At 41.7% G+C, this 17,086-nt stretch overlaps 1 protein-coding gene across 9 annotated transcripts in view; it reads left to right on the top strand.

The window, feature by feature from the left end:
- E2F3 (E2F transcription factor 3) overlaps positions 1-15,505 on the top strand; it is a 91,836-nt gene extending 76,331 nt beyond the window's left edge. For 5 of the 9 annotated variants that reach the window (NM_001949.5, XM_005248865.6, XM_005248866.6 and 2 more), the window contains exons 2-7: positions 1,637-1,748; positions 2,997-3,216; positions 4,553-4,711; positions 8,480-8,594; positions 9,904-10,039; positions 11,959-15,505. In NM_001949.5, coding sequence (NP_001940.1) covers positions 1,637-1,748; positions 2,997-3,216; positions 4,553-4,711; positions 8,480-8,594; positions 9,904-10,039; positions 11,959-12,221 — 1,005 coding nt within the window. In that variant the 3' untranslated portion in view covers positions 12,222-15,505. Of the gene's footprint in view, positions 1-1,636; positions 1,749-2,996; positions 3,217-4,552; positions 4,741-8,479; positions 8,595-9,903; positions 10,040-11,958 lie in introns of those variants that run through there. The other 4 variants (XM_011514324.4, NM_001243076.3, XM_047418265.1 and 1 more) reach the window with 3 other exon arrangements.

Consider the following 17,086-nt stretch of genomic DNA (forward strand, 5'->3'; position numbering starts at 1 on the left):
AATCAGTGGAAACGGACAGTCCAAACCCATGTTGTTCAAGGGTCAGTTGTATTTTATTTATTTCATTTAACATGTGATCACTACTAAAATTGTTGAGATATTTTACCCTGTTTTGTACTAAGTCTTCGAAATTCAGTGTGTATTTTACAATTATAGCACATGTCAGTTTGGATGAGCTAGTAACCAGTGGCTATCGTAGTAGACGGTGCAGGGTTAGCTGGTAACTTTCCATAGAGGGGCTGAATATCTAGCTTCCGCTGATAAGTTATTACTTACGTTTTCACATCACGGGGAGTTGTTTTGAAATTGCAACTCTCGGCTGGGTACAGTGGCTCACGCCTGTAATCCCATCACTTTGGGAGGCCAAGGTGGGCAGATCACCAAAGATCAGGACTTCGAGACCAGCCTGGCCAACATGGCGAAACCCCGTCTCTACTAAAAATACAAAAATTAGCTGGGAGTGGTGGCGTGCACCTGCAGTCCCAGCTACTTGGGGAGGGCTGAGGCAGGAGAATCACTTGAACTCAGAGGCAGAGGTTGCAGTGAGCCAAGATCGCGCCACTCCACTCCAGCCTGGGCGACAGAGCAAGACTCTGTCTTAAAAAAAAGAAACTGCAAATCTCCTCATTAGAAGAATCTGCCTGAAAATGAGCCTAAATACATATTTTTGTGCTGAGTGTCCAGTTGGTGCCATTTATTTTCTAAAACACCTGTCATACCCATACAATTAGTACTTAACAACTGCTTAACCATCTATCTTTTCTCTTGGACTCGAAGCCCCTTATCTATCTTGCTTACTAAGCCCAATGCCTAGGTACCTAGAAGACGCTATGTGGATATTTTAAAATTTAATTGGAGTTAAATTAAAAACTTAGATAAGGGCTTCTCATTTGCTAGGCTTGATAAGAAAATGGAGAAAGTAATAGTGGTTGAAGCCCAAGATTGCATGTTTGCAGTATTTGTTTTCCCGATGAAGGGCCGTTTGTAGTCTGTGACTAGTTGTGTTACGATCCAATCACCCTTTCTCTCATTGAATATACAGTATATAGAGAGAGTGATTGAAAATCTACAGAAACCCAGGCTCTGTGCCAAGCACTGGGTATACAAAGATAAATGGGAAACAGTCCCTGCCTTAAAGGAAATGAGAAACAGATAAGTCTTACAGTAATACCGAATAAGTGTCATGATACAAATAAACACAGAGTGTTTGGGGAGCACAAGGAAGGGGGTCCAACCCAGGTCGGAGAATGGGAGATGGGCAGGAAAGACTCACTGTGGAAAGGGAATTTAAGCCCCACGGCGCCTGTGATATTCTTAGCATCCAACCCCATGCCAGGCACATGATGTGTTGAATCAATGAACAAAGTGACTCCTGAACCTAATGCTGAAGGATCGCTGTGTTTGTCCATCTGGGTGTGGACGGATGATCACGGCAGGTGAAGAGAGTGTGCATGACAACCCAGCCTACAACGCTAGAATCCTGGCTCTAGGGAATGACAAGATGCTGAGTGGGGTGGAGCAGAGGGGTGAGAGCTGGCATGAGCCTGCAGCATTTGGCAGGCCAGCCCACAAACTGCCTCCCTTCTTGTTCTTGTCCATATGACCGGTGACGAGAGATCGCACTTTCTTATTACAGGCAAAGCGAAGGCTGGAGCTAGGAGAAAGCGGTCATCAGTACCTCTCAGATGGTTTAAAAACCCCCAAGGGCAAAGGAAGAGCTGCACTACGAAGTCCAGATAGTCCAAAAAGTAAGGATCTTTTCATCTCTTTCCTTATTCTCCTTGGTATGGCATTTCCAAGTTTCAAAGCTTATGGCCGGAAGGATGCCAAGGTGTGAATAATTCTGGCATGTTTTGTTCTTTTTCATTTCTTTCTGTGCTTATCCAAAAAAATAAATACAATGTCAGCAGACAACCAGTGAAAGGCTACAGAGTCACACTGGTACCATAAGGGAAGACTTCTTTTAACTGTATGTAGTTTCATTTTTCAACTCGGAATACGAACTTTTGGCACCATTCTATATCAAATTTAATTTTAACTTCCCTTAATGGACATTGCTTCAGAGTCTGAGGCAAACTGGATGTCCACGAACTATGCCAGAGTCACCAGTGTCTGTGCCGACCTCAATCTCCAGCTCAGCATATGATAGCGTAAGAATTGATTGAGCCCGATAAATTGCAGGCTGTTTCTCTTTCTATCAAATACTATTACCGTTTCTTGTGGGAGAGAGAGAAACGTAGGTTAGAAATAGCCAACTAGTCCCATTATGTATGTGTTTGCATTTAACATAAGGGCTAAATTAGACTTTGTTCTCTCTCTTCCTTTAGTTCATGCATTAGGCAATCCACAAATTGTGTGACACTAAATTAAAACCTTGACCTGTGCACCTATGGGGGAACAAGTACAATATTAAGTAAGGAAATTTCCTTTAAGAGAGATGGGGAGATTTGGCAGAAGACTTTTCCAGGTAATTATTTATCAAAATGAAGCATTGTTTGGAAAATTGGTGAACAGGTGATACACGCACACACAGATACCAGAGCCTGAAAGGCCATTTGAGATGGGTCTGTTTAAGACCTTGTCCTGCAGTGCTAGTGAGACTCATAGCCTGGCTCCATCACCGTAGGCCTCGTGTGTGCTGGTCCCCTGAGGCCACAGCACTCTTTCATTCATTTGACAGATATTTTTTAGCGCCCGCTATATGTAAATTCTTCATTGGAGCCAGGGAATGGTGTAAGTCAAGGTAGAAACTCTTGAGAAATTCAAGGTGAAATGCTTTAATCAAACCCTGGAATTTTTACCTTCCCTTCCTGCTCTAATAAAAAACTTTCATAGCTTTCTATGACTTGCCAACACCAACAGCAACGACAGCCTTGCTTCAGATACTAATACTTTGGCTGCAGTGGGAAAGAGAGCTTGCTTGACTGCAAAGACACCCTTCATTTCTTTACCTTTCCCCCTATCCCCCACCCGCTCGGTTTTTGTTTTTCTTTAAGCTCCAAAATCTCCCTCAGAAAAAACGCGGTATGATACGTCTCTTGGTCTGCTCACCAAGAAGTTCATTCAGCTCCTGAGCCAGTCACCCGATGGGGTATTGGATTTGAACAAGGCAGCAGAAGTGCTAAAAGTGCAAAAGAGAAGGATTTATGATATCACCAACGTTCTGGAAGGCATCCACCTCATTAAGAAGAAGTCTAAAAACAACGTCCAATGGATGTGAGTAGGAGTCCTCCCCATGCCCCGGCTCTGAGGGGGTCGTTTCAAACTGCCTGGTTTCTTAGTTCCTCACTTTCACATCCACGCCCACACGTTCTTTTCTTTTCTCTCCTACTGTTTTCTTCTCTCTCATTCTCTCTTCCCTCCTCAGCTTCTAAGCCAGAAGTTTGAAGTCTCTTTACAAAGAGACTTTGTTTAGATACTGTCAGAGATAAAAGGATTTATATTTGATGAGCATCCAGCAACGGCATCCTTAAAGAGGTCCCTGCAGTTGGAAAGTGGACTGCTGTTCATCTGTTACATAGATGTCTGTGTGCACCCACGTGTGTATCTGACAGATGTGTACACGTCTTCAGCTTGTTTCTAATAAGAATCTGGAAATGATGGCTTATGGGTTATCTATGTGTATACGTACAACTGCATAGTTACAGAATATCTTTATCCATGGTTCTAATAGCAGATTAACTCACTTTCTGGGTAAATTAAGGCAAGACTTAAATGCCTCCATTTCGTCTGTAGAGCAGGGATGGTAGCATGATACTTATACAGCCACACGTATGATTACATATGTAATATATTTTGTGAATTTTAGAGCATCTAAATAGCCACTATAAGCACAGTATTGAATTATTAAAGCATTTTGGAAGGAATAATTCTGTTACAGGAGGGCTTTGAAAAGATACTAATTCAGATGGAAGATGAATACATACCTTTTTTTGCACATTTTGGAATTTTGTTGACAGTTTGGTAACCCGTTTTGGCCTCTGGTTTAGAGAAACATATTGTGCACTAGTCTCAGTTCTTGCATACATCACATACATCTGTTTCCTTTACTTTCTTTTCTTTTTAGTTGTTGATATAAGACCCTCAGTAATTACCTGAGTTTTTGATGCTTTTTTGGATGGGTTGTTTTTTTGTTTTTTTTTTTTTTTAATTTTGAACCATTCCATCTTCTCTGTCTTTCTCTATCTTTTTATCCTTTTTCGCCTTTCTTCCCCCACCACCTGGGAGCCATGAGGCAAGGGAGGAAGGTGGTTGCCTTCTTTTGCCCTCTGAATTTGAACCTTCTGAAGAAGTAGACCTCCCCTGGAGGAAAGAATCCTGAAAATAGCAGTGCGCTTTCACTAAATTTCTATGCTGTGAAAAGTGCAGAACTGTATTTATGAAAAAAAAAATATATATATATATATATATATGTGTAAATGTTCTAATTTTAACACTTGGCTAACAAGCAATGTGACCTCCTATGTCAAGAGGAGACATTTACCCAAAGGATCATTTCTCCTTCCCCTCCCTCCCATGAGTAGCCATGAAGAGTCTGTGTTTGGGTTTCTAGGGGCTGCAGTCTGTCTGAGGATGGGGGCATGCTGGCCCAGTGTCAAGGCCTGTCAAAAGAAGTGACCGAGCTCAGTCAGGAAGAGAAGAAATTAGATGAACTGATCCAAAGCTGCACCCTGGACCTCAAACTGTTAACCGAGGATTCAGAGAATCAAAGATATCCTTTGTGCCGCCAGTTCTCTGGGGGTTAGTGCTTCCTAGACTATTTCCAGAGTTGACAATCTGACTTATGCACAAGGTAGATTATTATTCTGATGTCATGCAAATGAGTACCTGTGTGCCTGTGTGTGTATGTGTGTGTGTGTGCACGTGTGTGTGTAAACCCAGTTAGCTTTGCCTAAAAAGTCAGTATTTATGGTAAGATAGTCACCAACTCGATCCTATTATTATCTATTTTGATACCAGGTGGGAACTGTTTTTTAAAGCATTTTTTCATGTGTGGTTGAGACATGGGTATACTCGTAGCGTAAGGCCACACTATTAAAAGATACATAAGGTGTCGGTATTAATATTAATGACAACACTAAGCAGATTCGTCTTTGGCTTCCCAGATTTTTGGTGGGTGTTAGCTGTCACTGTTGGGGTTCTCACATTCTATTTTCTTCTCACCAGATATCGTAGCAATTGAAATTGGTTGAATCTATCTGATTGGGCTATAGTTGAAGGGTTTGAAAGAGTAGAGAAAAATCATACTATAACTCTTAAAGTGCATTCTGCTGATTCCCAATGAAAAAACTGATTTCAAAAGCACCCCAAGACCTGAGAAACCCCTCTCAATTCCTCTGTTCCACTACAAACATTAGTCCTCGCAAATAAAAATACAAAAGGTCAGTTCTTGTTCTCAACTTCCTGACAATCTATTGACGATCTCAGGAAAACTTGCTCTTCATCATCTCACTACAGACAAAGTAAGAGAGAGATTGCCTCATTATGTCAAACAAGACTTGCCAATATTCTCAGTTATTAGAAGACAAAAAACAGTACTGTAAGTTATCCCATCTCTAGTTTTAGTTCCAAACTTCTGATGATTGCACATTTACCATTATTTGACAAAAACTAAAAAGTGTTCTGCCCAGATTCTTCTAGTGTCTCATCTTTAACAGGCTCCCCCTTGGAGAATATGGAGATATTTATTTTCTTCCAATGTTGGCAGTTTTTCAAACCTGCAATTGTTCATTTCCTGTTGACCAAAGAATTAACCTTGTCAGCCGATAATTAGTGAGATGGAAGAGAGGCGTAGTGATTTGGACCCCCAGTGGTTGGCAGAGTGGGTTTACAGGGGAAGAAACCAACAGTTGGGCTGTTTCATTCATTGTTTGGTTGGGAGCCCCATTGTGGAAGAGATGGGTGGTTACATGTGATTGGCAGCCTTCCGGGACATGTGGCTTATGGCATTGTCACCTATATTAGCTCTCTCTGGGGCCTTTGTTGCAGAAAATGAAAGCTTCCTTGCAGGGAACTTCGAACCCAAGGAGTAAATTCAGGAGGGAGCCACAAAGGAAGCACTTTTAAGTTTGTAAGATTAGAAAATACATTTGCACAATTTATTTCAGTTCACCATTCAGTTCCCAAATTGGTACAGCTTGTTCACAAATGTGTTGAAATTTTCCTTCCTGCAGCATGTTGAGTAATCGTAGATGAGTTTTTCTTTTACACTTGATCTTAGCCAAAAGGCCAAGAAGTGATGAGTTTTTATTTTAATAAGTTCTTGTCATACAGCTTTTTGACAGTGAGCTGTAGTGTAAGTACCTGGTTGTCAGTTTTTTCCAGTGTTCTCAGTAAAAAATCAGAACTGCCTGGCCCTCTATAAAGGCATCCGTTGACTTCTTTGATGGGTTATGTAGTGACCTAAAACCCAGAATCCTGCAAGAGCAGCCACTACAAGCTCAACACTGAATTAGCCATCATCTCAACTGTAAAGATTTGAAGGAGATAGTCTGTGATAGATCCCCTACATGTGTATGCAGATTTCGTGTGAATGTGCTTTCTTTCTGGAGTAGTAGTTCCATAGCTGCATTCAGTTTCTAATAAGAAGCTACTACAGCCAGGCACGGTGGCTCATGCCTGTAATCCCAGCTACTCGGGAGGCTGAGGCAGGAGAATCACTTGAACCTGGGAGACAGAGGTGGCAGTGAGCTGAAATCGTGCCACTGCACTCCAGCCTTAGTGACAGAGTGGGAGTCCGTCTCAAAAAAAAAAAAAAAAAGAAGCTACTATCGTAAGGGACATGATTTATTCTAGGGTCTCTAAGCCCCCCCTTTTTTTTATATTAAACATATTAGATCACGGACTCTATTAGCCATTAAATACGTTATACTACCTGCTGAAATGCCTTCATTGGTTTGTTACTTGCTGTTTTATCCTAGGAATTTTTTGTGGGTACATATAAAAAATAATAACGGGCTAAAGACATTGTACATTAATTGAATACTTTTGTCATATCGTAAGTACCATATTCTTTCATGATAGCCTTTTAGGCTTGGCTGTCAGGACATTTAAAAGAATGGTTCAGTGCTTAGAAAAAATGACCAAGGCCGGGCGCCGTGGCTCACACCTGTAATCCCAGCACTTTGGGAGGCCGGAGGCAGGCAGATCACTTGAGTCCAGGAGTTCAAGACCAGCCTGGGCAACAGGGTAAAACCCCATCTCTACTAAAAATAAAAAAAATTAGCCGGGTGTGGTGGTGCACGCCTGTAGTCCCATCTGTTTGGGAGGCTGAGGCACGAGAATCATTTAACCCCAGAGACGGAGGTTGCAGTGAGCTGAGATTGGGCCACTGAACTCCAGCCTGGGTGACAGAGCAAGATTCTGTCTCAAAAAGAAAAAGGAAATAACTACCAAGAGTACTGAGATATTATACTTTTCTCTTTTCCTAAATCAGTGTTTCTCAAATTCATTCAAGTCGCAGAGCACCTGGAAACTGCTTTCTTCCTCATGAACACTGAAATATTGATAGAGTTAATATAGTATCACGCAAAGCATAATTTTTCTAACAGAAATAATGACACTCTTTTCTGTAGGCAGTACATAATCACAACCAGCCCAGGTGCACTTAAGAAAACAAGCTGTCTGCCTGAGCAGTATTCTGAGTTCCTCCACTAATGTATTTGTTACTTATTTATTTACTTGGTGGCTGCTGACACTTGCTTGTAGATAGAAGTAACTGGAGTTTCAAAAAAATTATGGCTAATAGAGATTACATTTTTTTTTCCTGCAAATTGGAATCTGCCATCATTCAGTTTGAGTGACAGAACACTTTATTGGAGTTCATGGAATGCCTGTGCTGCAAAGGACCCTGGCTTCAAGATAAAATTTCTGACCACTTAGTTTTTTATTTTCTTATGATCATTTATTTTAACTGTTCTGTTTCTATGTTTAATATTTTAAATAGCCATAGTCTTTTTAGAAATGGGCGGGATAAAGCTATTCATTTCTTTAGTTGTTTAGAGTGTCAACCAGAAATGAAGATTCATGGGAGACCCTAAACATTTGCACATCCAGAAGGGGAGACATACACATACTTTTTTGAGAAGGAGTCTCGCTCTGTCGCCCAGGCTGGAGTGCAGTGGCGCGATCTCGTCTCACTGCAAGCTCCACCTCCCGGGTTCATGCCATTCTCCGGCCTCAGCCTCCCGAGTAGCTGGGACTACAGGCGCCCGCCACCACGCCTGGCTAACTTTTTGTATTTTTAGTAGAGACGGGGTTTCACCGTGTTAGCCAGGTTGGTCTCCATCTCCTGACCTCATGATCCACCCGCCTCGGCCTCCCAAAGTGCTGGGATTACAGGTGTGAGCCACCGCGCCCGGCCACATATGCATACTTCTAAGTCATAAAATACTTTAAAATATTCCATGCATCTATTTTGTCATTTTCATCATACTTATATCTGAGGTAATTAGATGGAAGATTCCTTGACACTCTTTACGTTAGCTTATGTTACATATCAAGATATTCGAAAAATTAGTGGCCTTAAAGACCAAACTGTTATAGTTGTGAAAGCCCCTCCAGAAACAAGACTTGAAGTGCCTGACTCAATAGAGGTAAGGAGACAGCGTCTTTGTTCATCTGCAAAGATCTTTGTGGAATGCCTGAAATTGAATGACTCATTGACTCATAGTTAAAGTCTGTCCCCCTCCTATGAACTTGATGGTTCTTTCCCATTTATTTTACTTAACCATACATTTGAAAACATTTCAATGGTTTGATGTTCATTGAGTATTCAAACAACCTAACTTTGACCTAGCAGGATGTTCAGTTCAAAGTGGTATATGATGCGCTGTCCCTCTCATACTTTCTCTTTTTCATAATTTGTCATCAACGGTTTTGATCAATTTGAATCACTTTGGAAAGTTTATATTGATTATCCTGTATATGGTCCCCACCACGAACAGATATATAAATGTTTTAAAGTCTCTCCCTAACTTATAACATTTTGAGAGATCACATGGGGCTTTGGGTTAGCTGATAGACTAGAATATTGCAAGAAAGTAGGGGGCATATTTTTGTAATTTTCAGATATACTTGGATAATAGAGGCCTAGACTACAACTATAACATAAAGAGTTGTAGTAAAAAGAAAATGCATAGGAGATAAAAAGAGAATGAAAGTTACACGCTTCCATCTAGGGTAGACTTCTTACCTTAAAAGATAATAATAGCTCTTTGACCTAGATGAAAAAGATTTTTAAATGTTGGTATGCTGCATTCTCTTAATAGATGCAGTTCCTAGCACTTAAGAATACTATTCATCAGTATACAGTTCAACATGAAAAAGTCCTACCATAAAGGAACAATAACATGGAGATACTGAATTTGGAACACTTAAAGGACCTTGTAATAATTTGCAGAAAAAGAATATATCCAAAGAACACAATTCACCTCACCCATTGTGCTATTTTCAGAATGACTCCCCTCTCCCCCAAGCCCCACTAAAATAGTTTTCTTTCTCTAGGGCAGGACTCAGCAAACTTTTTCATTGAAGTGCCAGGTAGATAGTAAATATTTTTGGCTTTGCGAGCCGTACAGCCTGTGTCTAGACTATTCAACTGTGCACCTCTGACATTGTGATACGAAAACAGCCAGAGGCAATAATAAACAATGGGAATGGATGTGACTCTCTTCCAATAAAACTTTATTTACAAAGCCACTTGGTGAACTGGATTTGGCCCTTAGGCTGTGGTTTGCTGACCCCTGCTCTAGAGGATGACAGTCTTTCATAGAGTTGGACTAGTAGGGAAAAAGCAAGTGAAAAACGAACATTGTTCTTACTTTCCATTTTTAGACAAGAATTACTATGGCTTTTATTTCTAAAAGAACTTCTGATTCGAACTTCTCCCACTTCTGTTCATAGAGCCTACAAATACATTTGGCAAGTACCCAAGGGCCCATTGAGGTTTACTTATGTCCAGAAGAGACTGAAACACACAGTCCAATGAAAACAAACAACCAAGACCACAATGGGAATATCCCTAAACCCGCTTCCAAAGGTAAAAACTCCACTTTTGTCTTTTAGAAACTATGTTAAAAATGAGGGTGACTAGAACCATCTGTATTGGAACCACAAGCCTAGGCAAGAAACACAAACTTCTATTGGTATTAGGTAACATGTTTTAAAAGACATTCTGACTGGTTTGCAGAAGAAAATAATGATTTGGGAAAAACGGCTCCTTCACCCACTTATGGAGTCGCTTCAGGCTTTTGCTATTGGCAGAGAATGTTTCCTTACAGCATTTTTGAAAACCAGCTAAAGTGAGGAGCAAAGCTGTGAACTGTCTTGTTGGATCATCAGAGACACTTGGCCACACACCTTTGAATCACACTGCAGAGCTCATCAGAGAGGGAAATGAAAAAGGTTTGAGGAGAAAAGCCTTTGTTGGAGAATTTTTGTCTTATTTTCCCCCCCAATGAGATGGGGAGAGGATATGGGAGGAGAACGCTAGGAAAGTAAGTCTTGCCGGGTGCGGTGGCTCACACCTGTAATCCCAGCACTTTGGGAGGCCGAGGCAGGCAGATCACGAGGTCAGGAGATCGAGACTGTCCTGGCCAACACAGTGAAACCCTGTCTCTACTAAAAATACAAAAATTAGCTGTGCGTGGTGGCACGTGCCTGTAATCCCTGCTACTCGGGAGGCTGAGGCAGGAGAATCACTTGAACCAGGGAGTCGGAGGTTGCAGTGAGCCGAGATCCGCCACTGCACTCCAGCCTGGTGACAGAGTGAGACTCCATCTCAAAAAAAGAAAAGAAAAGAAAAGAAATCTAACTTCTCCTTCCCGCTCTGCAAAGAGCAAAGGAAGCTCTTTGCAGTATATATTTTTCCATTTCCTAACTTGAGGAGATATATATGCAATTGTTTCCCTTAGTGTCTCCCTATATAGCAGCAAGAATAAGGGTGATTTAAGTGAATAAGTCTGATTTAATACTGAGCAAAAGTACATCACCTGAAATGGTAAAACAAAAGGCCATCTTTCTTCACCACAGAAATCCAAAGTGGATCTGTCTTATTGTATGTATTTTTAGAGATCTTTTTAATAAGCTGGTTGTTCAAAAAAGACTGAGTTAAAATCAGTGAATTCTGCATGTAGTCCCAGCTATAGGGAGGCTGGGGTGGCAGGATCGCTTGAGCCCAGGAGTTCGAGGTTAGAGTGAGCTATGCTTGCCTGTGAATAGCCACTACACTCCAGCGTAGACAACATAGCAAGACGCCGTCTCTTAAAAAAAAAAGTTCTTTTTTCAGTTGGTGAGTTTCTACTAGGAAGCCAACTTTTCAGTATGTATATATTGTTTTGTTTTGATTTTCTTAAAACAATGACTAGATAGCAGAGAGAAGTTTTTGAACTTGTTATCCTCTCATCATTGAAGTTATTTGCATTCTTGTTTATTGACAGTAGTTATTTGAAAAATGAGTGAGTAGACTAGGGCCAAAGAAAGATGGCCAGGCATGGTGGCTCACACCTGTAATTTCAGCACTTTGGGAGGCCAAGGAAGACAGATCACTTGAGCCCAGGAGTTCGAGACCAGACTGGGCAACATGGCAAAACCCTGTCTCTACAAAAAAAGATTAACCAGGCATGGTGGCTCACACCTGGAGTCCCAGCTACTTGGGAGGCTGAGGTGGGAGGGTCCCTTGAACCCAGAAGTTCAAGACTGCAGTGAGTCATGATCACACCACTGCACTCCAGCCAAGAGAATAAGACCCTGTCTCAAAAATTAAAAGGGGGACGGGGGTGGCAAGGAACTTTTTTGTACCTGTTAGCATAAAAGGTGATCTGCATCATAAAGTCGTCTCATTGTCATTATTTGCGGAAGGTACATGCTTTTTTCTAACAGCAACATATACATTCTTCCAGAAAAATTCATTTGATTTTTCTAACTTATTTTTTGTTTCCATCAATGTTTTCTTTTCAGACTTGGCTTCAACCAACTCAGGACATAGCGATTGCTCAGTTTCTATGGGAAACCTTTCTCCTCTGGCCTCCCCAGCCAACCTCTTACAGCAGACTGAGGACCAAATTCCTTCCAACCTAGAAGGACCGTTTGTGAACTTACTGCCTCCCCTGCTGCAAGAGGACTATCTCCTGAGCCTCGGGGAGGAGGAAGGCATCAGCGATCTCTTCGATGCTTACGATTTGGAAAAGCTCCCACTGGTGGAAGACTTCATGTGTAGTTGATTATGCTTCGTGTGAACTCTCCTTAAAAACCGATATTTTTTTATCATGGAACCAGAACATCTGTCATGCAGTGTTGTCCCTTCCTACCTTCTTCCTCCAAGAGAGTATCATGAAGTAAACTACAAACTTCAGAAGAAAGCTGACATTTTAATGAATTTTTTAAAAAATTAATAAACAAATTGTCTAAACGCACAGTTGCAGGCTCCCTTGGGAAAGCCCTGCTTTGCTCCAGGCTCCAAGATCTCCTGGCTAAGTCAGCAAGTGAGAAAATGTGCAATCAGGTGTCTCTCACCCCGAATTGTCCTTCCTCCTTCCTCCCCGGATTGGCTTGCTGTGCCTGACGGATGGGCTGTAGAATGGGGTCTGGCCACCTGGCCTGCTGGGAAACAGCAATCTTCCTTAATAGCATTTCAAGCCGTGCCTTCTCCGCAGAATGCATGTCTTTGAGGTCTGCTAATATGGAATGGAACTGCAGCAAATGCAAACTTGAAGTCATGCAAAAGTATGAAATGGATTTCTTCAGCTCTTCTTAGGAATATTTAAATTACTGTCATAATTCAGTTTAAGCTATGAACTGTGTGTCCCAGTAGGAGGTCAAGAAAACCTCCACAGCCTTCTGGATGAAGAACCTGTTTTCAAATATACTTGTTGCAGATACAGAAGACTAGTAGAGTTCTGCCACTCTAAGCTGTTGTGGATTTTCCTGTCTCCATGAACCACTCCCATTCCCCCGTCCCCAATGTGTTTGTGAGTTTCCAGTTGATTTGTAGCAAATGCCTACTTAGTTCTTTGTGGATTGTTCTAGACTTTTAATTTTTTTAGCTGCCATTTAAGCATTCCTGTGGCACCCATCACCATTTCAATTTAATTGTTTACTTTGAAGCGGTTTTTGCAAATTCATATTACTTAAGCAGAGGGAGAGAACCTCTACTGATCAGAGCATCTAAACCTGTGTGATCTAAGGTTTATCAGCCTCTGCAAGGAGCTTTGTCCCATCGTGCTTCCATTCCCAGGAGGGGGAGCTTGGAGCGAGTCAGTCCTGGGGCTTGCTGACATGGGTGGCCCATTGGAAAGGAGAACCAGGTCAGATGATGTAACAGCCCCAAGGAGCAGCAGGCATGGGTCCCTCCATCCTTGGGCTTCCCGGGCCCCTGTGACAGGGGAAAGGGCTCTCTTACACCGCACTCAGGGAGACCACTTCTCAGGATGGGGTCAGATGGAGAGACCTCTAGGGAGAAAGACATCCCCATTGTGTGAGTGGCATTTCCTTAAGCTGGCAGGAACAGGGAGCAGCCCTGTGTCGGGGGCTGGAATAGTTCTGGCCAGACCCCGTTCCCCTTCCTCTATGAAGGAATAAGTTGGACCAAGGGAAGTCGGGGACGTAAAAAATGAAGCAAAACAATGCCAGGGTGTCTCCCGCTTTACTCTTCAGGAATGGTGTCCCAAGTTGGAGGCTTTGTGTCAGCTGCAAATCCTACCAGTTATGTCCAAGAATGGCTTTCCCTCGGGCAGGTGGCAGCGGCCATCTCCCACTGGGAATATGGCGTAGTATCTCCGGTCCATTCCTTGGATGCTAAGGACTGCGGGAATGAGGGAGTCAGATAAAGAACAAACCTCGAAACGAACAGTTAAATTGAAATGCTATGTGCCTGACCCAATGGTAGGCACATAGTAGGCACTCAACTCATATGTTTAATTGAATTGAAAATATCCCTTAGGAAAAAAAAAAAACACACAAAAAACCACAAGAGCCCCAGCCAGTTTACTCCAGGTAGATTTCCACAATATGCAAAGTGGTGGTGGGGTCAAGACAGATGACACCAGCACTTTAAACTCTTTGTGTGGGTATGCGTGGGTGTATGTTTGGGAAGAAAAACAAAGGTGCAGACTATCTTCCTTTTTTTCTTCTTCAGCCTCCATCCCTGGCCTCCTCCCCTCACACACACTGGACTTGGTACAAAATGTCGGTGTGGTCCTAGATGAAGCATTGGGGTGGGGGAGGGAGAGGGAGCTTTGTGTTAAGTGCCTACTGGAAATGCACTGTGGGGTTTTTTCCTGTATGGGAAACCATTTATGCCAAGCTTTTCCCCATTTCCCATATTTATCTCATCTGGTTAGCTGCCTCTGCTTCCAGCTTTGTGTAATTCTCTTTGCCAGCTGCACAAAGCTGATTTTTTCCAAAGTCTAAAGACTGAGCTCACCTGGCTAGATTGTTGTGTGTTTTGTTGAATTTTTTCATAATGTAATGCCGTATTTATTGTTTTTAAAATGAAAGGAATACTAATAAGTCTTAAAAGTTCCTTCATGCATAAGATTTTTTTCCAGTTACTGGGTTTAACTGGTGTACATTAATTAGATGTCCATACTGTATTTTGTTTGCATTAAGTAATTTTCTTTTTGACTTAGTATCCGGCACACAAAGTGGGTTAGTACTACAGTATTTGCGTTACTTTAAGTACTAAGTATGCAGGTTTCCTGGTACCATTGAGTTGCTGCTATTAAAGCTCACACACGAAATGGCTAAAAGTTACAAGTGTGCAAATTATGACTGCGTGAGCCTTAGAAAATAAAATGTATAAAGGGCAACACATGAGCTGTCAAACAGTGTTAGGAGTGTGTTTATATGTACAGAGTTGTGCATAGCAATCGTTTTATTTAAGTTGATATGTAGTCTACTCACATTTTCATTATTTAGCAATTTTGTACAAAAATAGCAATTAATTTGTAAACACTGCCAGAATACTTTCTAGCTGCTTTGTAATTTTTTAAGAGTGTTATTTTGTTTTTGTTTTTCTGTTCTTTGTTGTGGCTCTTGTTTTCATTTTTGTTGTACGTGTAGATCTGTAAATAAAATTGCAGTATTTAAAGCTTAAGCTTTCAGGAAAAAGAAAATAAGAATTCAGTGTGTGCATGACAACTCGTGTGTATGAGAAGGAGGGATATGAAGGAAGATGGCTTGCAGAGTAAGTCGGGTGGCAATTGTCAGGGTGTGGGAATTTCTTTTCCTACGGGGTACGTGATTTTGTAAAAAGGAAGTATTTCTCCCAAAATTGGGAGTAGGCAAACTACTAATCAGTTTAGCTTTGTGTTGTATGCTAGTTTAAAAAAGAAAATATGTAATATAATGTAAAAAAAAACAAAAAAAAGCTTTTATGATGGATTTTGTAAATAGATTTGTTACAGGGTGACCTGTTCTCTAGCTGTGATCTTACCACTTCAAATGGGTGTAATTTGAATAAATTTTGTATGGTAAAGGATCAATAAAATGATTTTTTTTAAGAGTTCAGGCTTGTGGATGGGTTTTCTTTAATATTATCTTGTGCTCCTCTATTAATTGAATTTTTTTCATTTTCTTTTTCTTTTTTTTTTTTTTGTTTTGTTTTTTGAGGCAGAGTCAATCACTCTCACCCAGGCTGGAGTGCAGTGGCACAATCTTGGTTCACTGCAACCTCCACCTCCCGGGATCAAGTGATTCACCTGCCTCAGCCTCCTGAGTAGCTGGGACTACAGACACCCGCCACCACGACTGGCTAATTTTTGTATTTTGAGTAGAGACGGAGTTTCACCATGTTGGCCAGGCTGGTCTCGAACTCCTGACCTCAAGTGATCCGCCTGCCTCGGCCTCCCAAAGTGCTGGGATTACAGGCATGAGCCACCGCGCCCAGCCTATTAATTGAATTTTTTAAAACATTCTTAAACAAGTTAAGGAGAAAGGCTAAACAAAAGCTTAAAACATCGTTTGCCTTAGACGGTATTTGGGACTCAGAACACTCAGCAAATATTTGGTGACCACTTCCGGTGTGCTCTGCACCCTGTGAAGTAGAACTTACCTTGTCCCTTTGACCATGTGCAGAAACCACTCGGACACTGAGTAATTGTTACACTGAGAAAGTGACAAATTTGACTCCTCGTAAGGGTTATAAAGCCAATACATTTTAATTCTGAAATCTGGTAATTACCTCCCATGTTCTAGATTGTGTATTTCTAGTAATGCCATCTAGGAGCAGATTTGAATTTTTTGACTGCCATGTCACACTGTTAACTCTGAACTTATCATTGAAAAACCTCAAAGTGCTATATATTGTACACACACAAAATCAATATAAAAGGGTATGAAGTTTAAAAAAAAAGGGCAGGGGGGGACGTTACCTGCCCCTCTATGCTATTCATGCCAGAGATAACCACTGTTCGCATTTTTCTTGTATTATCCTTCCAGTCATTTTCTAGGCACATATCTGTGCATGAACATGTGTATTTTATTTTATTTTGTTTGTATTTATTTATTTGTATGAGACAGAGCCTTGCTCTGTCGCCCAGGCTGCAGTGCAGTGGTGCAATCTCAGCTCACTGCAACCTCCGCCTCCTGGGTTCAAGTGATTCTCTTGCCTCAGCCTCCCGAGTAGCTGGGATTACAGGCATGCACCACCACGCCCAGCTAATTTTGTATTTTTAGTAGAGACGGAGTTTCACCATGTTGGCCAGGCTGGTCTCGAACTCTGGACCTCAGGTGATCCACCCGCCTTGGCCTCCCAAAGTGGTGGGATTATAGGGGTGAGCCACCAAGCCCGACCTATTTTGTTTTGTTTTTTGTTTTTTGTTTTTGTTTTTGTTTAGAGACAGGATCTCACTCTGTTGCCCAGGCTTGAGTACAGTGGCACCATCATGGCTCACTGCAGCCTCAGACTCCTGGGCTCTGGTGGTCCTTCCCGCCTCAGTCTCCTGAGTAGGTGGGAATAGTAGGCGTGCACCACCAAGCCTGGCTATTTTTTTTTTTATTATTTTTGTGGAGATGGGGTCTTGTAATGTTGCCCAGGCTGGCCTCAAACTCCTGTCCTTAAGCAATCCTCCCCCATCAGCCCCCAAAA

Source organism: Homo sapiens, chromosome 6, assembly GCF_000001405.40.
Source record: "Homo sapiens chromosome 6, GRCh38.p14 Primary Assembly".
In the NCBI taxonomy this organism is placed as follows: Eukaryota; Metazoa; Chordata; class Mammalia; order Primates; family Hominidae; genus Homo; species Homo sapiens.